Source organism: Homo sapiens, chromosome 6 (assembly GCF_000001405.40).
Source record: "Homo sapiens chromosome 6, GRCh38.p14 Primary Assembly".
NCBI classification, from domain to species: Eukaryota; Metazoa; Chordata; class Mammalia; order Primates; family Hominidae; genus Homo; species Homo sapiens.
Genome location: NC_000006.12, coordinates 139,657,553 through 139,674,477, shown reverse-complemented (window position 1 = coordinate 139,674,477; position 16,925 = coordinate 139,657,553). Strand labels below are relative to the sequence as shown.

Here is a 16,925-nt window from a genome sequence, read left to right as displayed (position 1 = left end):
CCATGAGTCCAGTTGATTTTATTTTTAGACCCACAAATAAGCGGGAACATGTGATGTTTGTCTTTCTGTTGCCTAGCTTATTTCACTTAACATGATGGTCTCCAGTTCAAACCATGTTGTTGCAAATGACTGGATCTCATTCTTTTTTATGGCTGATTAGTACTCCATTGTGCTTATGTATCATATTTTCTTTATCCATTCATCTATCGATGGACACTTAGGTTGCTTCCAAATCTTGGTTATTGTAAACATTGTTGCAACAAACATAGGAATACAGATATCTGTTCCATATACTGATTTCCTTCCTTTGGGTATTTACCCAGCAGTGGGATTGCTGGATCATAGAGTAGCTCAATTTTGAGTTTTTTGAGAAACCTCCAAACTGTTCTCCATAGTGATTATACTAATTTACATTCCTGCCAACAGTGTACAGTATTCCCTTCCTTTCTTTCTTTCTTTTTTTTTTTTTTAAGTGTTCCCTTTTCTCCACCTCCTCTGCAGCATTTGTCATTGCCTGTCTTTTGAATATAAGCCATTTTAACTGGAGTGAGATGATATCTCATTGCAGTTTTGATTTGCATTTCTCTGATGATCAGTGTTGTTGAGCACCCTTTCATGTGCCTGTTTGCCATTTGTATGTGTTCTTTTGACCAATGTCTATACAGATCTTTTGCCCATTTTTAATTGAATCATTAGATTTGTTTTCCTATTGAGTTGTTTGAGCTCCTTACATATTCTGGTTATTAATCGCTTGTGGGTAGGGTAGTTTGCAAATATCTTCTCCCATTCTGTGGGTTCTCTCTTCACTTTGTTGACTCTATACTTTGCTGTACAGAAGCTTTTTAAAGTGATGTGATCCCATTTGTCCATTTTTGCTTCAGTTGCCTGTGCTTATGGGGTATTGCTCAAGAAATCTTTGCCCAGACCAATATCCAGGAGATTTTTTCCAACTTTTTCTTGTAGTAGTTTCATAGTTTTAGGTCTTAGATTTCAGTCTTTAATCCATTTTGATTTGATTTTTTATGCATAGCAAGAGATAGGGGTCTAGTTTCATTCTTTTGCATCTGGACATCTAGTTTTCCCAAAACCATTTATTGAAGAGACTTTCTTTTCCCCAGTGTATGTTCTTCTTACCTTGGCAAAAATGAGTTCACTGTAGTTACGTGGATTTGTTTCTGGGTTCCCTATTCTGTTCTATTTGTCTATGTGTCTGTTTTTATACCAGTATCATGCTGTTTTGGTTATTATAGCCCTATAGTATAATTTGAAGTCAGGTAGTGTGATGCCTCCAGTTTTGTTCTTTTTGCTTTGGCTCTTCTGGGTCTTTTGTGGTTCCATATATATTTTAGGATTTTTTTCTATTTCTGTGAAGAATGTCATTTGTATTTTGATAGGGATTGCATTAAATCTGTAGATTATTAATACTTTGGGCAGAATGGACATTTTAACGATATTGACTTTTCCAATCCATGAACACAGAATAGTTTTCCATTTTATGGTGTCCTCTTCAATTTCCTTTATCAGTGTTTTATAGTTTACAATACAGAGATCTTTCACTTCTTTGGTTAATTTCTAGGTAATGCCTTTTTGATTTATTTTTCACATTATTCACTTTTGGCATATGAAAATGCTACGATTTTTGTATGTTGATTGTGTATCCTTTAACTTCACTGAATTTGTTTATCAGTTCTAATAGTTTTTTTGTGGAGTCTTTAGGTTTTTCCAAATGTAAGTTCATATCATCAACAAACAAGGATGGTTTGACTTATTTCTTTTCAATTTGGATGCCCTTAGTCTTTCTCTTGTCTGATTGCTCTAGCTAGGACTTCAAGTACTATGTTGAATAACAGAGGTGACAGTGGGCATCCTTGTCGTGTTCCAGATCTTAGAGGAAAGGCTTCCAGCTTTTCCCCATTAGGTATGATACTATCTATGGGTCTATCATACATGGCTTCTTTTATGTTGAGGTATGTTCCCTTCTTTCTATAACCAGTTTTTTTGTGGGGTTTTTTTTTTTGTTTGTTTGGTTTGGTTTTTGAGACAGAGTCTCACTCTGTTGCCCAGGCTGGAGTGCAGTGGCGCGATCTTGGTTCACTGCAAGCTCCGCCTCCCGAGTTCATGCCATTCTCCTTCCTCAGCCTCCCAAGTAGCTGGGACTACAGGAGCCTGCCACCACGCCCGGATAATTTTTTGTATTTTTAGTAGAGATGGGGTTTCACCGTGTTAGCCAGGATGGTCTCGATCTCCTGACCTCATGAAACGCCCGCCTCAGCCTCCCAAAGTGCTGGGATTACAGGTGTGAGCCACCGTGCCTGGCGTGTTGTGGGTTTTCTTTCTTTCTTTTTTTTTTTATCACAAAGGATGTTGAATTTTATCAAATGCTTTTTCAGTATCAGTTGAAATGATCATATAGTTTTTATCCTTCATTCTGTTGATATGATCTATCATTCTATTGATTTGCATATGTTGAACCACATTTGCATCCCAGGGATAAATCCCACCTGTTCATAATGAATGATCTTTCTAATGTATTGTTAAATCTAGTTTGCTAGGATTTTGTTTTGAGAATTTTTGCATCAATATTCATCAGAGATACTGACCTGTAGTTTTCTTTTTTTGATGTGTTTTTATCTGGTTTTGGTATCAGGGTAATACTGGTCTTGGAGAATGAGTTTGCATGTTTTCTCTTCTCCTCTATTTTTCGGCATAGTTAGAATAGGATTGGTATTAGTTCTTTTAAAATGTTTGGTAGAATTTAGTAGTGAAGCCATAAGGTTCTGGACTTTTCTTTACTAGAAGAATTTTTATTATGGCATCAGTCCCCTTACTTGTTATTGGTCTGTTCAGGTTTCGAATTTCTTCCTGCTTCAATCTTAGAAGGTTGTATGTGTCTAGGAATTTGTCCATTTCTTCTAGATTTTCCAATTTATTGGTGTATAGTTTCTCATAATAGCCACTAATGATCCTTCGAATTTCTGCAATATCTGTTATAATGCCTCCTTTTTCATCTCTGATTTTTAGTTATTTGGGTCTTCTGTCTTTTTTTTTGTTTGTTTCATAAGCTAAAGGCTTGTCAATTTTAACTTTCCAAAAAACCAACTTTTTGTTTCATTGATCTTTTGTATTTTTTTTTCAATTTCATTTATTTTTGCTTGCTCTTTACTATTTTTTTCTACTACTAATTTTGGGTTTTGTTTGCTCTTGCTTTTCTAGTTAAGATGCATTATAAGATTGTTTATTTGAAGTTTTTCCTCTTTTTTGATGTAGGCATTTATAGCTATAAACTTCCTTTTTAGTGCTGCTTTTGTTGTATCCCATAGGTTTTGGTATATTTTATTTCCATTACCATTTGTTTCAAGAAATTTTTCAATTTTATTATTAAATTCTTCATTGATCTACTGGTCATCCAGGAGCATATTGTTTAATTTCCATGTATTCTTATAGTTTCTAAAATTCGTCTTGTTACTAATTTCTAGTTTATTCCATTGTGGTCAGAGAAGATGCTTGATATTATTTCAATTTTTGAATGTTTTAAGACTTGTTTTGTGACCTAATATATCATCTATCTTTGAGTATAATCCATGTGCTGAGGAAAAGAATGTGTATTCTGCAGCTCTTGGATGAAATGTTCTATAAATATCTATTAGGTCCATTTGGTCCATAGTGCAGATTAAGTCCAATTTTTCTTTGTTGATTTTCTGTCTGGAAGATCTGTTTTTGGACATCTTATAAAGATCAGCTATAAGCTGATTTGGAGAAATCTTTATTCATGTCCTTTGCCTATTTTAAAATTGGATTGCTTGGTTTTTGTTGTTGAGTTGTAGGAGTTCTTTATATTTTCTGAATATTAACTCCTTACCAGATATATTGTTTGCAAATATTTTTTTCCCATTCCATATGTTGTCTTTTCACTCTCTTGGTTTCTTCCTTTCTTGTGCAGACTTTTTAAGTTTGATATAGTCTTATTTATCTATTCTTGCTTACATTGTCTGTGGGTCTTATATACAAGAAATCAATGCAAAATCCAAAGTCATGAAGTTTTTGCCTATGTTTTCTTCTAGGAGTTTTATAGTTTTATGTCTTACATGTAGGTCATGTATCTATTTTGAGTTAATTTTTGTATGTTGTAAGGAAAATGTCCAACTTTATGCTTTGCATTGGATATTTCAGTTTTCCTAACACCATTTGTAGAAGAGACTAACTTTTTCCCATTGTGTAACCTTGATCCCCCTGTTGAAGATTATTTGATCATATATCCAAGGGCTTATTTATGAACTCTATTCTGTTCCATTGGTCTTTATATCTGTCTTTATGCCAATACCATACTTTTTATTACTGTAGCTTTATAATATATTTTGAAATCAGGAAGTTTGAGACCTGTAGCTTTGTTTTCTTTGTAAACGTGTTTTGGCTACTTAAAGTTCTTTAAAATTCCATATGAATTTTACTATTTTTTTCTACTTCTGCAAAAAAAAAAAAAAGTCATTGGCATTTCAATAGGAATTGCACAGAATCTGTAGATTACTTTTGGTAGTATAAACATTTTAACAATATTAATTATTTCAATTAATGAACACAAAATATATTTTTCATTTATTTATGTCTTTTCAAATTTCTTTCAGCAATGTTTTGTAGTTTTCTGTATATACGTCTTTCACTTCTTTGATTAAGTTCTATTATAAGTATTTTATTCTTTTTGATGCTACCATAAATGAGATTGTTTTCCTCAATTCCTTTACTGATTATTCATTGTTAGTGTACAAAAACGCACCTGATTTCTGCATGCTGATTTCATATCCTGCTACTTTGCTGAATTTGTTTATTACTTCTTTTTTTTTCGAGATGGAGTCTTGCACTGTCACCCAGGTTGGAGTGCAGTGGTGCGATCTCGGCTCACTGCAGGCTCCGCCTTCCGGGTTCACGCCATTCTCCTGCCTCAGCCTCCCAAATAGCTGGGACAACAGGCACCCACCACCACGCCCACCTAATTTTGTTTTTGTATTTTTAGTAGAGACGGGGTTTTACCATGTTAGCCAGGATAGTCTTGATCTCCTGACCTCATGATCCACCCGCCTCAGCCTCTCAAAGTGCTGGGATTACAGGCGTGAGCCACCGGGCCTGACCTTGTATATTACTTTTAACAGTTATTTTACAGAATCTTTAGGGTTTCTATTTATAAGATCGTATTATCTGTGAACAGCGATAGTTTTACTTTTTCCTTTACAATTTCTATGCCTTTATTATTTTTTCTTAATCAATTGATCTCGCTAAGACTTCCAGTAATAGGTTGAATAAAAGTTGTGAGAGTGGGCACTTTTGGCTTGTTTCTGAGCTTAGAAGGAAAGGTTTCAATTATTCACCATCAAGTATGAAGTTAGCAGTAGGCTTTTCATATATGGCCTTTATTATATTGAGGTAATTTCCTTCTGTTCTCCGTTTGTTAAGTTTTTTTATCATGAAAGTGTGTTGGATTTTGTCAAATGATTTTTCTGCATCAACTGAGATAATCATATGGTTTTTGTCTTTTATTCTGTTAATGTGGTATATCATATTGATTCATTTTCATATGTTGAATTATCCTTGCATTAATTCAAGATAAATCCCACTTAATCATGATGTATAATCCTTTTAATGTGTTGTTACATTTGGTTTGCTAAGATTTTGTTGAGGTTTTTGCATCTATATCCATCAAGGATATTGGTCTACAGTTTCCTTATCTGAAAGTATTTCTGTCTGATTTTGGTATCAGGGTAATGCTGGGCTCATATAATAAGTTTGGAAGTGTTTATTCCCACCCTTTCATTGTTTGGAAGTTTGAGGAGTGGTGTTAATTATCCTTTAATTGTTTGGTAAACTTTTCCAGTGAAGCTATCTGGTCCTGGGCTTTGTTTACTGGAAGGTTTTCATTACTAATTTAATCATCTTGTTAGTTATAGTTCTATTCGTATTTTTTATCTCTTCATGATTCAGTCTTGATAGGTTGCATGTTTCTAGAAATGTATTTATTTATTTTAGTTTATCCAATGTGTTGGCATACCTAAATATGCTTTTAAAAGCAAATTCTCCTGCTACTGGCAATATATGAGACTATTTGTACCATGACCTCATCAACATTTTGTATTTTTTATATTTTATGTATTTTATTTTCATATTTTTTATTTTTTACAGTTTTAATTGATGAAAAAAGTAGTACTTTTGTGACGGTACTTTGAGCAAATGTGAACTTTTTTTTTAATATTTGCTTCAAATGTCCTAAATGAAAATCATCACTATCTATAGAAGTGAGAGAATGTGATAATGGTGCTGTACACATACCAGGAAATGGCTTTTGTACAGTGCTTAAAAAACATTTTATTTGGGTATCAAATTTTCCTAAGGTACCCTCACCAAGTGCACTTTCCCAAGAACGCTTTTCCAGGTAGAAGTGAAGCAGAAAAAGCTGTTTTCTGACAGTTAAAAGGTGAATTATGACATAACAGATAACACAAATCAAATAAATTTTACTTGCTCTTAAATTATAGACACACATAAATTTATACATATTAAACTCCCTGTCTTTAACTGTAATGCACTTTTGTTAGAATTCTTTTGTCTGAGTTAAGAGACCTAACTAGGCAATAATATCAGGAACGGAGTCACTGTGGATCATGCACAAAGTAGATAAACCGTAGATGATCTTTAAAAAACTATGTTTATACTCTTAAATAAATATTCATATGCAGAAAGAGAAGAAGGAAAGTAGAAGGCACATCTTTAAAAGCACATATTTATAAATTGAAAATATATCTTCAGATCTAGGGGAAACTTCCAACTATGGTAGCATGAGGTCAGAGAAATCTTCTCTTCATAAAGCAAGTATAAAACAGGACAAAATTCTTTGGGAGGCCGAGGCAGGCGGATCACGAGGTCAAGAGATCGAGACCATCCTGACCAACATGGTGAAACCCCGTCTCTACTAAACATAGAAAAATTAGCTGGGTGTGGTGGTGCCTGCCTGTAGTCCCAACTACTCGGGAAGCTGAGGTAGGAGAATCATTTGAACCAACGAGGCGGAGGTTGCAGTGAGCCAAGATCATGCCACTGCACTCTAGCCTGGTGACAGAGTGACACTCTGTCTCAAAAGAAAAAAAAAAAGGACAAAATTGTCACAAGTAACCATACCAATGATCTGTGAAGTGACCAAAAAGCAGACTACAAATTGAGAAGCATTTATTCTAGAAAATTTCTAGAGCCCCTGGTTAAAGCAACTGGTGCTTGTGAAGTTCTTGACTGAGGATATTTCCATCCATGTTCTTCTCCCTGACTCATTTGGTGATCAAAGCAGGTTGAGCAGAAAATCCGCTTCTCTGCTGCCAGAGGGAAGAGACTTGCTTTGGGAGGCTGGAAAAAAAAAAAAAAAAAAAGTCAGGGCTTTAGCAAATATTATAAAGGAAAACAAGAAAAGCCCACAACTTTACTAGTTTGAGATAATGGTCCTATTTGGGGCAAGAAGTGCACAGACAGTTATTTATATGGGGAGATCCTGGAAAAGAGAGCACCATTTAAAGGCTATGGAAATGTTCTAACTCCTCATGTTTGGCTGAGAAACTACAGGTATGCACAGGGGAAACCTGAGAGAGCCTAGTTAGAAGTTAAAACCAAAAATGACTCGAGAACAAGCTGATTTTGAATGTGATCCCCAAACCACATGCATATTGATTGCTAGAAGATAAAACCCTCATGGATTGGGGGTGTTTGAGTACAACCTTTACCCAAATCATTGGCTGACCCCTAAGTATACAGATACAGAGATGACCCCTAGTCTAGTAATTTAGGATAAAAAACATATATTTTTAAAAAGCAAAAATAAGAATAAAAATCTAACTAGAGATATCAGCAGCTCCCCATTTGGGGAGACATTTTGTATTTTAAATCCAGGCAAGGTACAAAAGGAAAAAAGCAGAAAAATCAGAACTCTGAGTTGGTGTATTATCTATCACAGTCTATAAAATGTCCAATTTTCAACCAAAAATTACTAGACAATCAAAAAATATGTGACCCATACATGGGGAAAAAAGTGGTCAACAGAGACTAACTCTGAGGGGCACAAAATTTGAGTTTAATTCATGTTCAATGAATTAAGATAAAATATCACAACAATGGCTCAACTAAAAGGGAATCTCAGTAGAAAAATGTGTACTATTTTAAAAAGAGGAATTTTAGAAATTCTAGAATTGATAATGAAATAACCAAAATGAAAAATGCCGAAGATAGGCTCAACAGCAGATTGAAGATGACAGAAAAAGAATCAATAAGCTTGAAGATCAAGTAATAGATATTTATTCTAAAGAATAAAGAGAAAAATGAATAAAGCCTCAGAGACTGGTTGGTAATATTGAGCATAACAGCATTCATTTAATGAAATTATTAAAAGCATAGGAGAAAAAGAAAACGGCTGAGAGCCCTGCCAGTTTATTAAAGAAATTGACAAGTTTATCCTAAGAATTACATGGCGATCCAAAGGACCTACACTAACCAAATCAATTTCTAAAAATAATGAAGTTGGAAGACTTACACTAACTGATTTTAAAACTTTCCATAAAGCTACAATAATCAAGATAGTGTGGTATTGGTCTATGAATAGATATATCAATCAATGAATCTAAATAGACAATCAAAAATAAACTCTTACTTCTATGATTAATTGATTTTCAACAAAGATACCAAGATAATTCAATGAATAAAGTGTAGTCTTTCCAACAAGTGGTGTTGAAACAGTTGGATGTTCATATGTTTTAAAAATGTAAATGTAAATCTTAGACAAAAGTTAACTAAAAATGTAAGAGCTGACACTATAATCTTTGTGATCTTGTTAGGCAAAGACTTCTTAGACATGATACCAAAAGCATGATCCATAAAAGAAAAACATCATAAACGATGACATCAACAACTAAAACTTATTTTTCAAAAGACATCATTAAGAAAATAAAAAGACAAGCCACAGATATATGACTTGATTATTTGCAAATTATATGTCTTATAAAAGAGTTGTATATATACAGGAAACATAAAGAACTCTTCCAACTCAATAATACAAAGAGAAAAAATAGTTTAAGATTTAAGTAGATATTTTAACAAAGACATTCAAGTGACTAATTAGCTCATGAAAAAATGCTCAACATCATTAGTCATTAGAGAAATGCAAATTAAAACCACAATGAAATACACTGCACATCTACTGAAATGGCTATAATCCAACAGACTGATAATACCAAGCATTGATGAGGATGTGGAAAAACAGAAACCCTCATAGATTTTTGATAGGAATGTAAATGGCATAGATGCTTCAGAAAATAGTTTGATAGTTTCTTAAATAGTTAATCACACTTACCATATGCTATGATTTAAGTGTGTTGCCCAGAATTCATGTGTCGGAAATTTGGTCCCCAGTGTGGTAGTGCTGGGAGGTGGGGTCTTTAAGAGGTGATTAGGTCATTAAGAAGGTTAATACGGCTGGGCACAGTGGCTCATGCCTGTAATGCCAGCACTTTGGGAGGTCGAGGCCGGTGGATCACAAGGTCAGGAGATTGAGACCATCCTGGTCAATATGATGAAACCCCGTCTTTACTAAAAATACAAAAATTAGCCCGGCGTGGTAGTGCATGCCTATAATCCCAGCTACTCTGGAGGCTGAGGCAGGAGAATCACTTGAACCAGGAAGTCAGAGGTTGCAGTAAGCCTAGATCATGCCACTGCACTCCAGCCTGGCAACAGAGTGAGACTCCATCTCAAAAAAAAAAAAAAAAAAAGAAGAAGAAGAAGAAGGATTAACGCTACTGTCACAGGACTAGGTTAATTCTCAAGGGACTGAGTGAATTTGAGGGACAGAATTAGTAACCACAAAAGCAGGTTATTATAAAGTTCATCTCCCCCTAGTGTTTTTTCCCATTTACATGTGCCCACTTATCCTTCCTCTTCTCCATCATGTTTGGATGCAGCACAAGGCCCTCATCTAAACCTGACCAGATGTGGCCACCCAATTTTGGGTTTCCCAGCTTCATAAACATTAGCCAAAATAAATCTCTTGTTTTTTTGAGAAATCACCCAATCTCAGATATCTGTTATAGCAACCGAAAATAAACTGTCACCATATAATCTAGCAATTTTACTCCTAGATACCTATCCAAGAGAGTAGAAGGCATATGTCCATACAAATACTTACCTGTGAACATTCATAGTGGCACTATTAATAATAGACAAAAACTGGAAATAATACAAATGTTCATCATTTGGTGAACAGATAAAATATGGTATATCTATACAATGAAATACTATACAGCAATAAAAATGAATAAACTTTTGATATATCTACAATATGAATAAACTTAAAAAACATTACACCAAGTGAAAGAAGCCATGCACAAAAAATATATAGTGTGAGATTTATCTTATATAAAATTTTTGAAAAAGACAAAACTATAGAGACAGAAAGCAGATATTGGTTGCTTGAAGCTTAATTTTGGAGTGGTGATTGACTACAAAAGGGACCAAGATATTAATAATTTTTTGATGATAGAAGTACTTTAAAACTGAATTGTTGGTCGGGTGCGGTAGCTCACACCTATAATCCCACTACTTTGGGAGGCTGAGGCCGGTGGATCACCTGAGGTCAGGAGTTCAAGACCAGCCTGGCCAACATGGTGAAACTCTGCCTCAACTAAAAATACAAAAATTAGCCAGGCGTGGTGACACACACTTGTAATCCCAGCTGCTTGAGAAGCTGAGGCAGGAGAATCACTTGAACCTGCCTGGGAGGCAGAGGTTACAGTGAACTGAGATCATGCCACTGCACTCCAGCCTGGGCAACAGAGTGAGACTCTGACTCCAAAAAAAAAAAAAGAAAGAAACTGAATTTTTGTTATGGTTGTACAGTTTATAAAATTCCTAGAAATCACTAAGCCATACTTACAGTGAGTAAACCTGTACAGTGAGTAAATGATTAGTATTAAATTGTGTACTTCTATGAAACTATGTATATACAGTTGGCTTTTGAGTAACATGGAGTTGAACTGCACTGATGCTCTTATACAAAAGTTTCCTATAAAAGTTACACTGAGTGTGACTGCTCCTCCTGCCTCCCTTCCCACCTCCTCCACCTCCTCTGCCTCTGCCATCCCTGAGACAGCAAGACCAACCCCTCCTCTTCCTCCTCTTCCTCAGCCCATTCAACATGAGCACAATGAGAATAAAGACCTTTATGATAATCCAGTTCTACTTAATGAAGAGCAAATACATTTTCTCTTCCTCATGATTTTCTTAATAAAATTTTCTTTTCTCTAGCTTACTTGATTGTAAGAATACAGTATAGAATACATATAACATACAAATATTTGTTAATGGACTGTTTATGTTATGAGTAAGGCTTCCAATCAATAGTAAGCTATTAGTAGCTAAGTTCTGGGGAAATCAAAAGTTATACCCATATTTTTGACTGCACAGGAACTTGGTGTCCCTAACCCCTACATTGTTCAAGGGTCAAGTGTGTGTGTGTGTTCATCGTTTGTTAATGATCTTTTTGTTCTTACATTATCTCAAGGTAAATTTTAGAAATTCTACACCCTGCCCTTCTAATTCTGTGTCTCAAGCCCCTTCAAAGACGCATGACAATAGTTATCACTATAGTCTTTCATTTCTCTACTGCCTGATCCACTTCATCCACTTTAAAGTTGAGGCATCTCCTTTGCATAAGAAAAAGGGGATTCCCCTACTACCTGACCCCAATTTGAGTATTAATATTTTTTCTTTTTCTTTTTTTTTTTTTGAGACGGAGTCTCGCTCTGTCGCCCAGGCTGGAGTGCAGTGGCGGGATCTCGGCTCACTGCAAGCTCCGCCTCCCGGGTTCACGCCATTCTCCTGCCTCAGCCTCCCAAGTAGCTGGGACTACAGGCGCCCGCCACTACGCCCGGCTAATTTTTTGTATTTTTAGTAGAGACGGGATTTCACCGTTTTTTAGCCGGGATGGTCTCGATCTCCTGACCTCGTGATCCGCCCGCCTCAGCCTCCCAAAGTGCTGGGATTACAGGCGTGAGCCACAATATTTTTTCATGTATTTCCAATATGTGTAGGATGGTATCATCTTAGCACAGATTTGATAAGGTCTTTAAGAAGTATTACCTAATTTAATCTATAAACAATAATGAGTTTAGTGAGTAACAGAGGTTATATTAAAATTTGGGTCTATCTGACTATATACCTCTTGCTCTCAACCAGTGTCTTATACACCACGCTCCTCTTCCTATTTTCATGTTTTGCCATGATCCCACTTGTATTTTCCCATGTCAAAAAAAAGATGAGAAAATTTTTTATCTAGAAACCCACAAGGTTGTAGCCTCAGTAACCTTCAAATAATAGGAAATACCCTGAACTTTTTTTTCAAATAGTTTTTTATAAACAATGTATTCAGGCTGGGCACGGTGGCTCATGCCTGTAATCCCAGAACTTTGGGAGGCCAAGGCAGGCGGATCACGAGGTCAGGAGATAGAGACCGTCCTGGCTAACACGGTGAAACTCCATCTCTACTAAAAATACAAAAGATTAGCCGGGCGTGGTGGCGGGCGCCAGTAGTCCCAGGTACTCGGGAGGCTGAGGCAGGAGAATGGCGTGAACCCGGGAGGTGGAGGTTGCAGTAAGCCGAGATCGCGCCACTGTAATCCAGCCTAGGTGACAGCACGAGACTCCATCTCAAAAAATAAAATAAAAATAAATAAATAAATAAATAATGTATTCAAAGATTTTGAGCCACTACATAAGTAAGAATCCTACTCCTTAAGAAAAATATACAGATTTTGGTAAGAGTTTAAATTCTGAGAGATTCAAGCCCGATGCCAAGCCTTTAGATTTCTACTGCTTCAATTCCAAAAACCTAGTGGATGGCAATTTTAGTGTACCAAACTCCACTGTGCTGTATGGTTTATTTTCTCCTGAGTCAGAAAGCTTTATTCTGCTTCATTTACCTCTTCTTTGCTCCTTAATGGATCTTGGAATCCAGTTTCCAGATTTTTTTATTTCCTTTAATAGGAAACTTCACAACCATTTCCTCAGGACTTTTGCAGATGAAAACAAGTGGAGAACGTGATTCTTAGCTGATGTCTGGAAACTGCTCCTTAAATTGCCTCTGAAACAAGCAATTAGGTCCAGACAGCCCAAAAAACAACCTGATGGATAGTCACTGGGGAATTCCACATCTTTTCTATGAAGAAGATGATATGTAGCCCGGAGTTCTGAGACTTTTTGAAGGCAGAGGGAGGTTTTGGCTATGACTACTATCCAAAGTTGTCCTCTGTGGCAGATGTACCAGGATCTGTACTCCATCATTTTCTAATCCCTCTAACAAGCTGAGAAACCCAGGGCTGATGTATAGAGAGACATGAGCCACTGTCCAACCTCCCTGAAAGTCTTGATCCTGGATTCACAAGAGGTACCGAAATGAGTTGAATTCTAGTCCCAATCCTGCTGAATGGAAAGCCTTCTTCTGTGAGGCTGCACCTGTGTGGTCAACCCACTGGGGAGGGGACTCGTATGTGCTGAGATTTACCAGAACTTCCAAAGGTTCTTCAGGAGATATATCAAATGTGATCAGTGTCTAGTTCAAGGTTTCCTTAGCAATGGCCTGTATTGTCTCATCTAGTCTGCTGTGATATTCTGCTAATGGATTTTCTTCTTCCAGGATCTTCCTGCTGTAAAGTCAATGGTGACCTTCTTAGAGAGTACAGAGGCATGTCGAAGTTCTCTCAGCTCTTCTTCTCACTTCTCATTTCGTTTCCCACTCAAGTTTGGACAACCACTGGTTAGAATCACTGGCAAAAAATCTGATCATCAATAACTTGGGTCCTTTGAAAACTAGCTCTATCCAACTCTAACAGCCTGTCTTTGTGCTTGATATCCTTCTCCAGACCAGACATAATTTGAAATTCTCGATGACATAGAAAGTCCTTGGCAGAGTTGTCCACCTTTCCAGAATTCTCCATCAATGGCATGAGCTTCTTTAGCAGTTTCTGGCTCTCATTTGAGTTATGCTGTAAAATATCCTGTTCTTCATAGTACATATGGTTGTCACACAGAATAAGCAAGGATTGGAGCCCTCTTGTTCACAAACAACAGGCCCACAGATCAGACAGCTATTGATGAGCTTGTGCTTCTGGCCCAGGCAAACACAAGGGTGGCAACTGGGGAGCAGACTGCAGGCCTGTGGGTCCCTCTCTTGTGTGTAAATTGACAAACTTTGTCTTCTTCTTAAAGGAGTTGCTGTTCTCTCGTGCCTTGGGCAAATCAAAAGATGTTTTACCTCTGCAGCTGTGTCAGGTTCAGCAAATACGGGAACTTCCTCTCTATCTCTCCCTTTCCTCCTACCCAGCTTTAGCTGGTCCCTTGATTTCTGCCCATGTAAAGTTTCATCTTTTTGGAAGCACTGTGCATGATCTCCTTGCTGACATCCAGGCCAACACTTTTCCCTACCTGCTGGGTGCACCATTACACCAGTGGCTCCTTGGACACTGCCCCAGCCACTGCCATCTTTCCCGGACAGAACCAGCTGGGCTTAACGTTTGTTTTTTGATATAATTGAGTGCAAATATAGAGTTGTTTTGCTCCAGAGGCCAAATTTTAACCTGGGTGAGTTAATGATTCAAGTTAATTTCCAAACACCACAAACTAAATACAACCTCAGTGAGAATTTAAAAAGACTAGGATAATATCTTACTAATTTACATAGTTATAGTATTTTGTTATGTACAAAGGAATTTCTCAGGAAAATTTTTTGATGTTTTATAAGAGTCTTGTGAAGTGGATATCATTAGACTTGTTTTACAGATGTCAGAAAAAAATACATGGAAGTAAATGGTAGATTTGTCTCCCGATTTCAAATTCACTTTTCTTAAAGTTAAATTGTTAAATTCATTTAATGTTTACCTTCGAAAAATTGGGTAAATAATAGTGGCTCCTTCTCTACTGGAGTATGAAGAAGGTTGAAATATACCTCGTCTGCACTTCAACTCTAGGTTTTGACAGCAGAGAAGCTGGAACATCTGGCAAAACCTGTTTGTTGTCTCATATCCACAGTAGTGTGACCAACAGAGACCCAGTAGTATCTGGTCAGTCCAAGTAGACTGTGTTGATCAAATGCTATTATCTTGATGTAGCTAACATGGAAATACAGCACAGTTACAAGCCCAAGAGGCTTTTTGGGAATGCCATTTATTTCCACAAAAATGTTAAAGGCAAAATTTACCATGTGCTGTAATTTCTTATTAAAAACAAATACAGACATGTGCCAGTTAATGACAGGGATGCATTCTAAAAAATGCATCATTAGGCAATTTCATCATTGTGCAAACATCAGAGTGTACTTACACAAACCTAGATGGTATAGCCTACTACACAAGTAAGTATATGGTATAGCCTATTGCCTACTACACAAGTAAGTACATGGTATAGCCTATTGCCTACTACACAAGTAAGTATATGGTATAGCCTATTGCCTACTACACAGGTAAGTATATGGTATAGCCTATTGCCTACTACACAAGTAAGTATATGGTATAGCCTATTGCTCCAAGGCTGCAAACCTATAAGGCATGTCACGGTACTGAATACTGAATCCTGTAGGCAACTGTAACATAATGGAAATACTTGTGTATCTAAACATATATAAACATAAAATGGTACAGTAAAAATACAGTATTATAATCTTATGAGACCACTGTCATATATTCAGACTTAGTGACCAAAATGTCATTATGCAGTGCATGCACTGCACAAGTCAACTCTTTCCATTGAAAAGAATACTTTGAAAATGTAGTAATCTCCACTTGCTCTTGGACTGATTATTTGTTTATTCTAATGCTCTGGTCTTCTTTAGACACTGCCTAATAATATTTGAGTATTTCATAAGTATGTACAATTTTATATCCTTTCTCCAATTGTATGGCCAGTTGGTGGTGCCTTATACAGACCTGTAAAATCCATTATTTCACTTCATCCTTTCAATAGGAATGGCTATGACAGAATGCAGTCACTGAGATAGACTTTCCTCTTAGATTAGGAAACTCAGGGTCAGGATATTAGTTATTTGCTCAAGTGCTTATATTTCTCAGAAGAGGCATAGATTAGTGAAGTCTTCACTTGACAGTTATAATTAAGGAATGATGTATTACTTAAGCTAGCAAATGATTATTCTATAAAATAAAAATCAAAGCAGGACATTGAATAATGAAGCTGAAAACCAGTTTGCCTTGCCATAGACATTATTTTAATTACTTGTTTTACTTATTTATTATTATTAATAGCTCTATTATTGGAGAGATTGAAATGTGCCAAATATTTTGCTATACATTTTATAAGTATTATCTCACATGAGTTTATCCTTCCTATGAAAGAGTATGGCCGGGCGCGGTGGCTCACGCCTGTAATCCCAGCACTTTGGGAGGCCGAGGCGGGCGGATCACGAGGTCAGGAGATCGAGACCATCCTGGCTAACACGGTGAAACCCCGTCTCTACTAAAAATACAAAAAATTAGCCGGGCGTGGTGGTGGGCGCCTGTAATCCCAGCTACTCGGGAGGCTGAGGCAGGAGAATGGCATGAACCCAAGAGGCGGAGCTTGCAGTGAGCCGGGATAGCGCCACTGCAGTCCAGCTTGGGCGAAAGAGTGAGACTCCGTCTCAAAAAAAAAAAAAAAAAAAAAAAAAAAAAAAAAAAAAAAAAAGGAGTATGAAGACATGGTTATCCACATTTTAAATATGAGTTACCTAAGATTTAGCAGGGAGCTTGTTCAAAATCACATGACCAATAAGATAATAAAATCAGGATTTCAAGTGTTGCGGATTCTGAAGAAATTACTTCTAGCCAGTAAGCAATAATATATCAAACACCAGAGTTCAAAATACCACA

At 36.5% G+C, this 16,925-nt stretch overlaps 1 pseudogene; it reads right to left on the bottom strand.

Annotated features, from left to right (window-relative positions):
- Window positions 12,778-14,576, bottom strand: LOC100129554 (thyroid hormone receptor interactor 4 pseudogene; annotated as a pseudogene).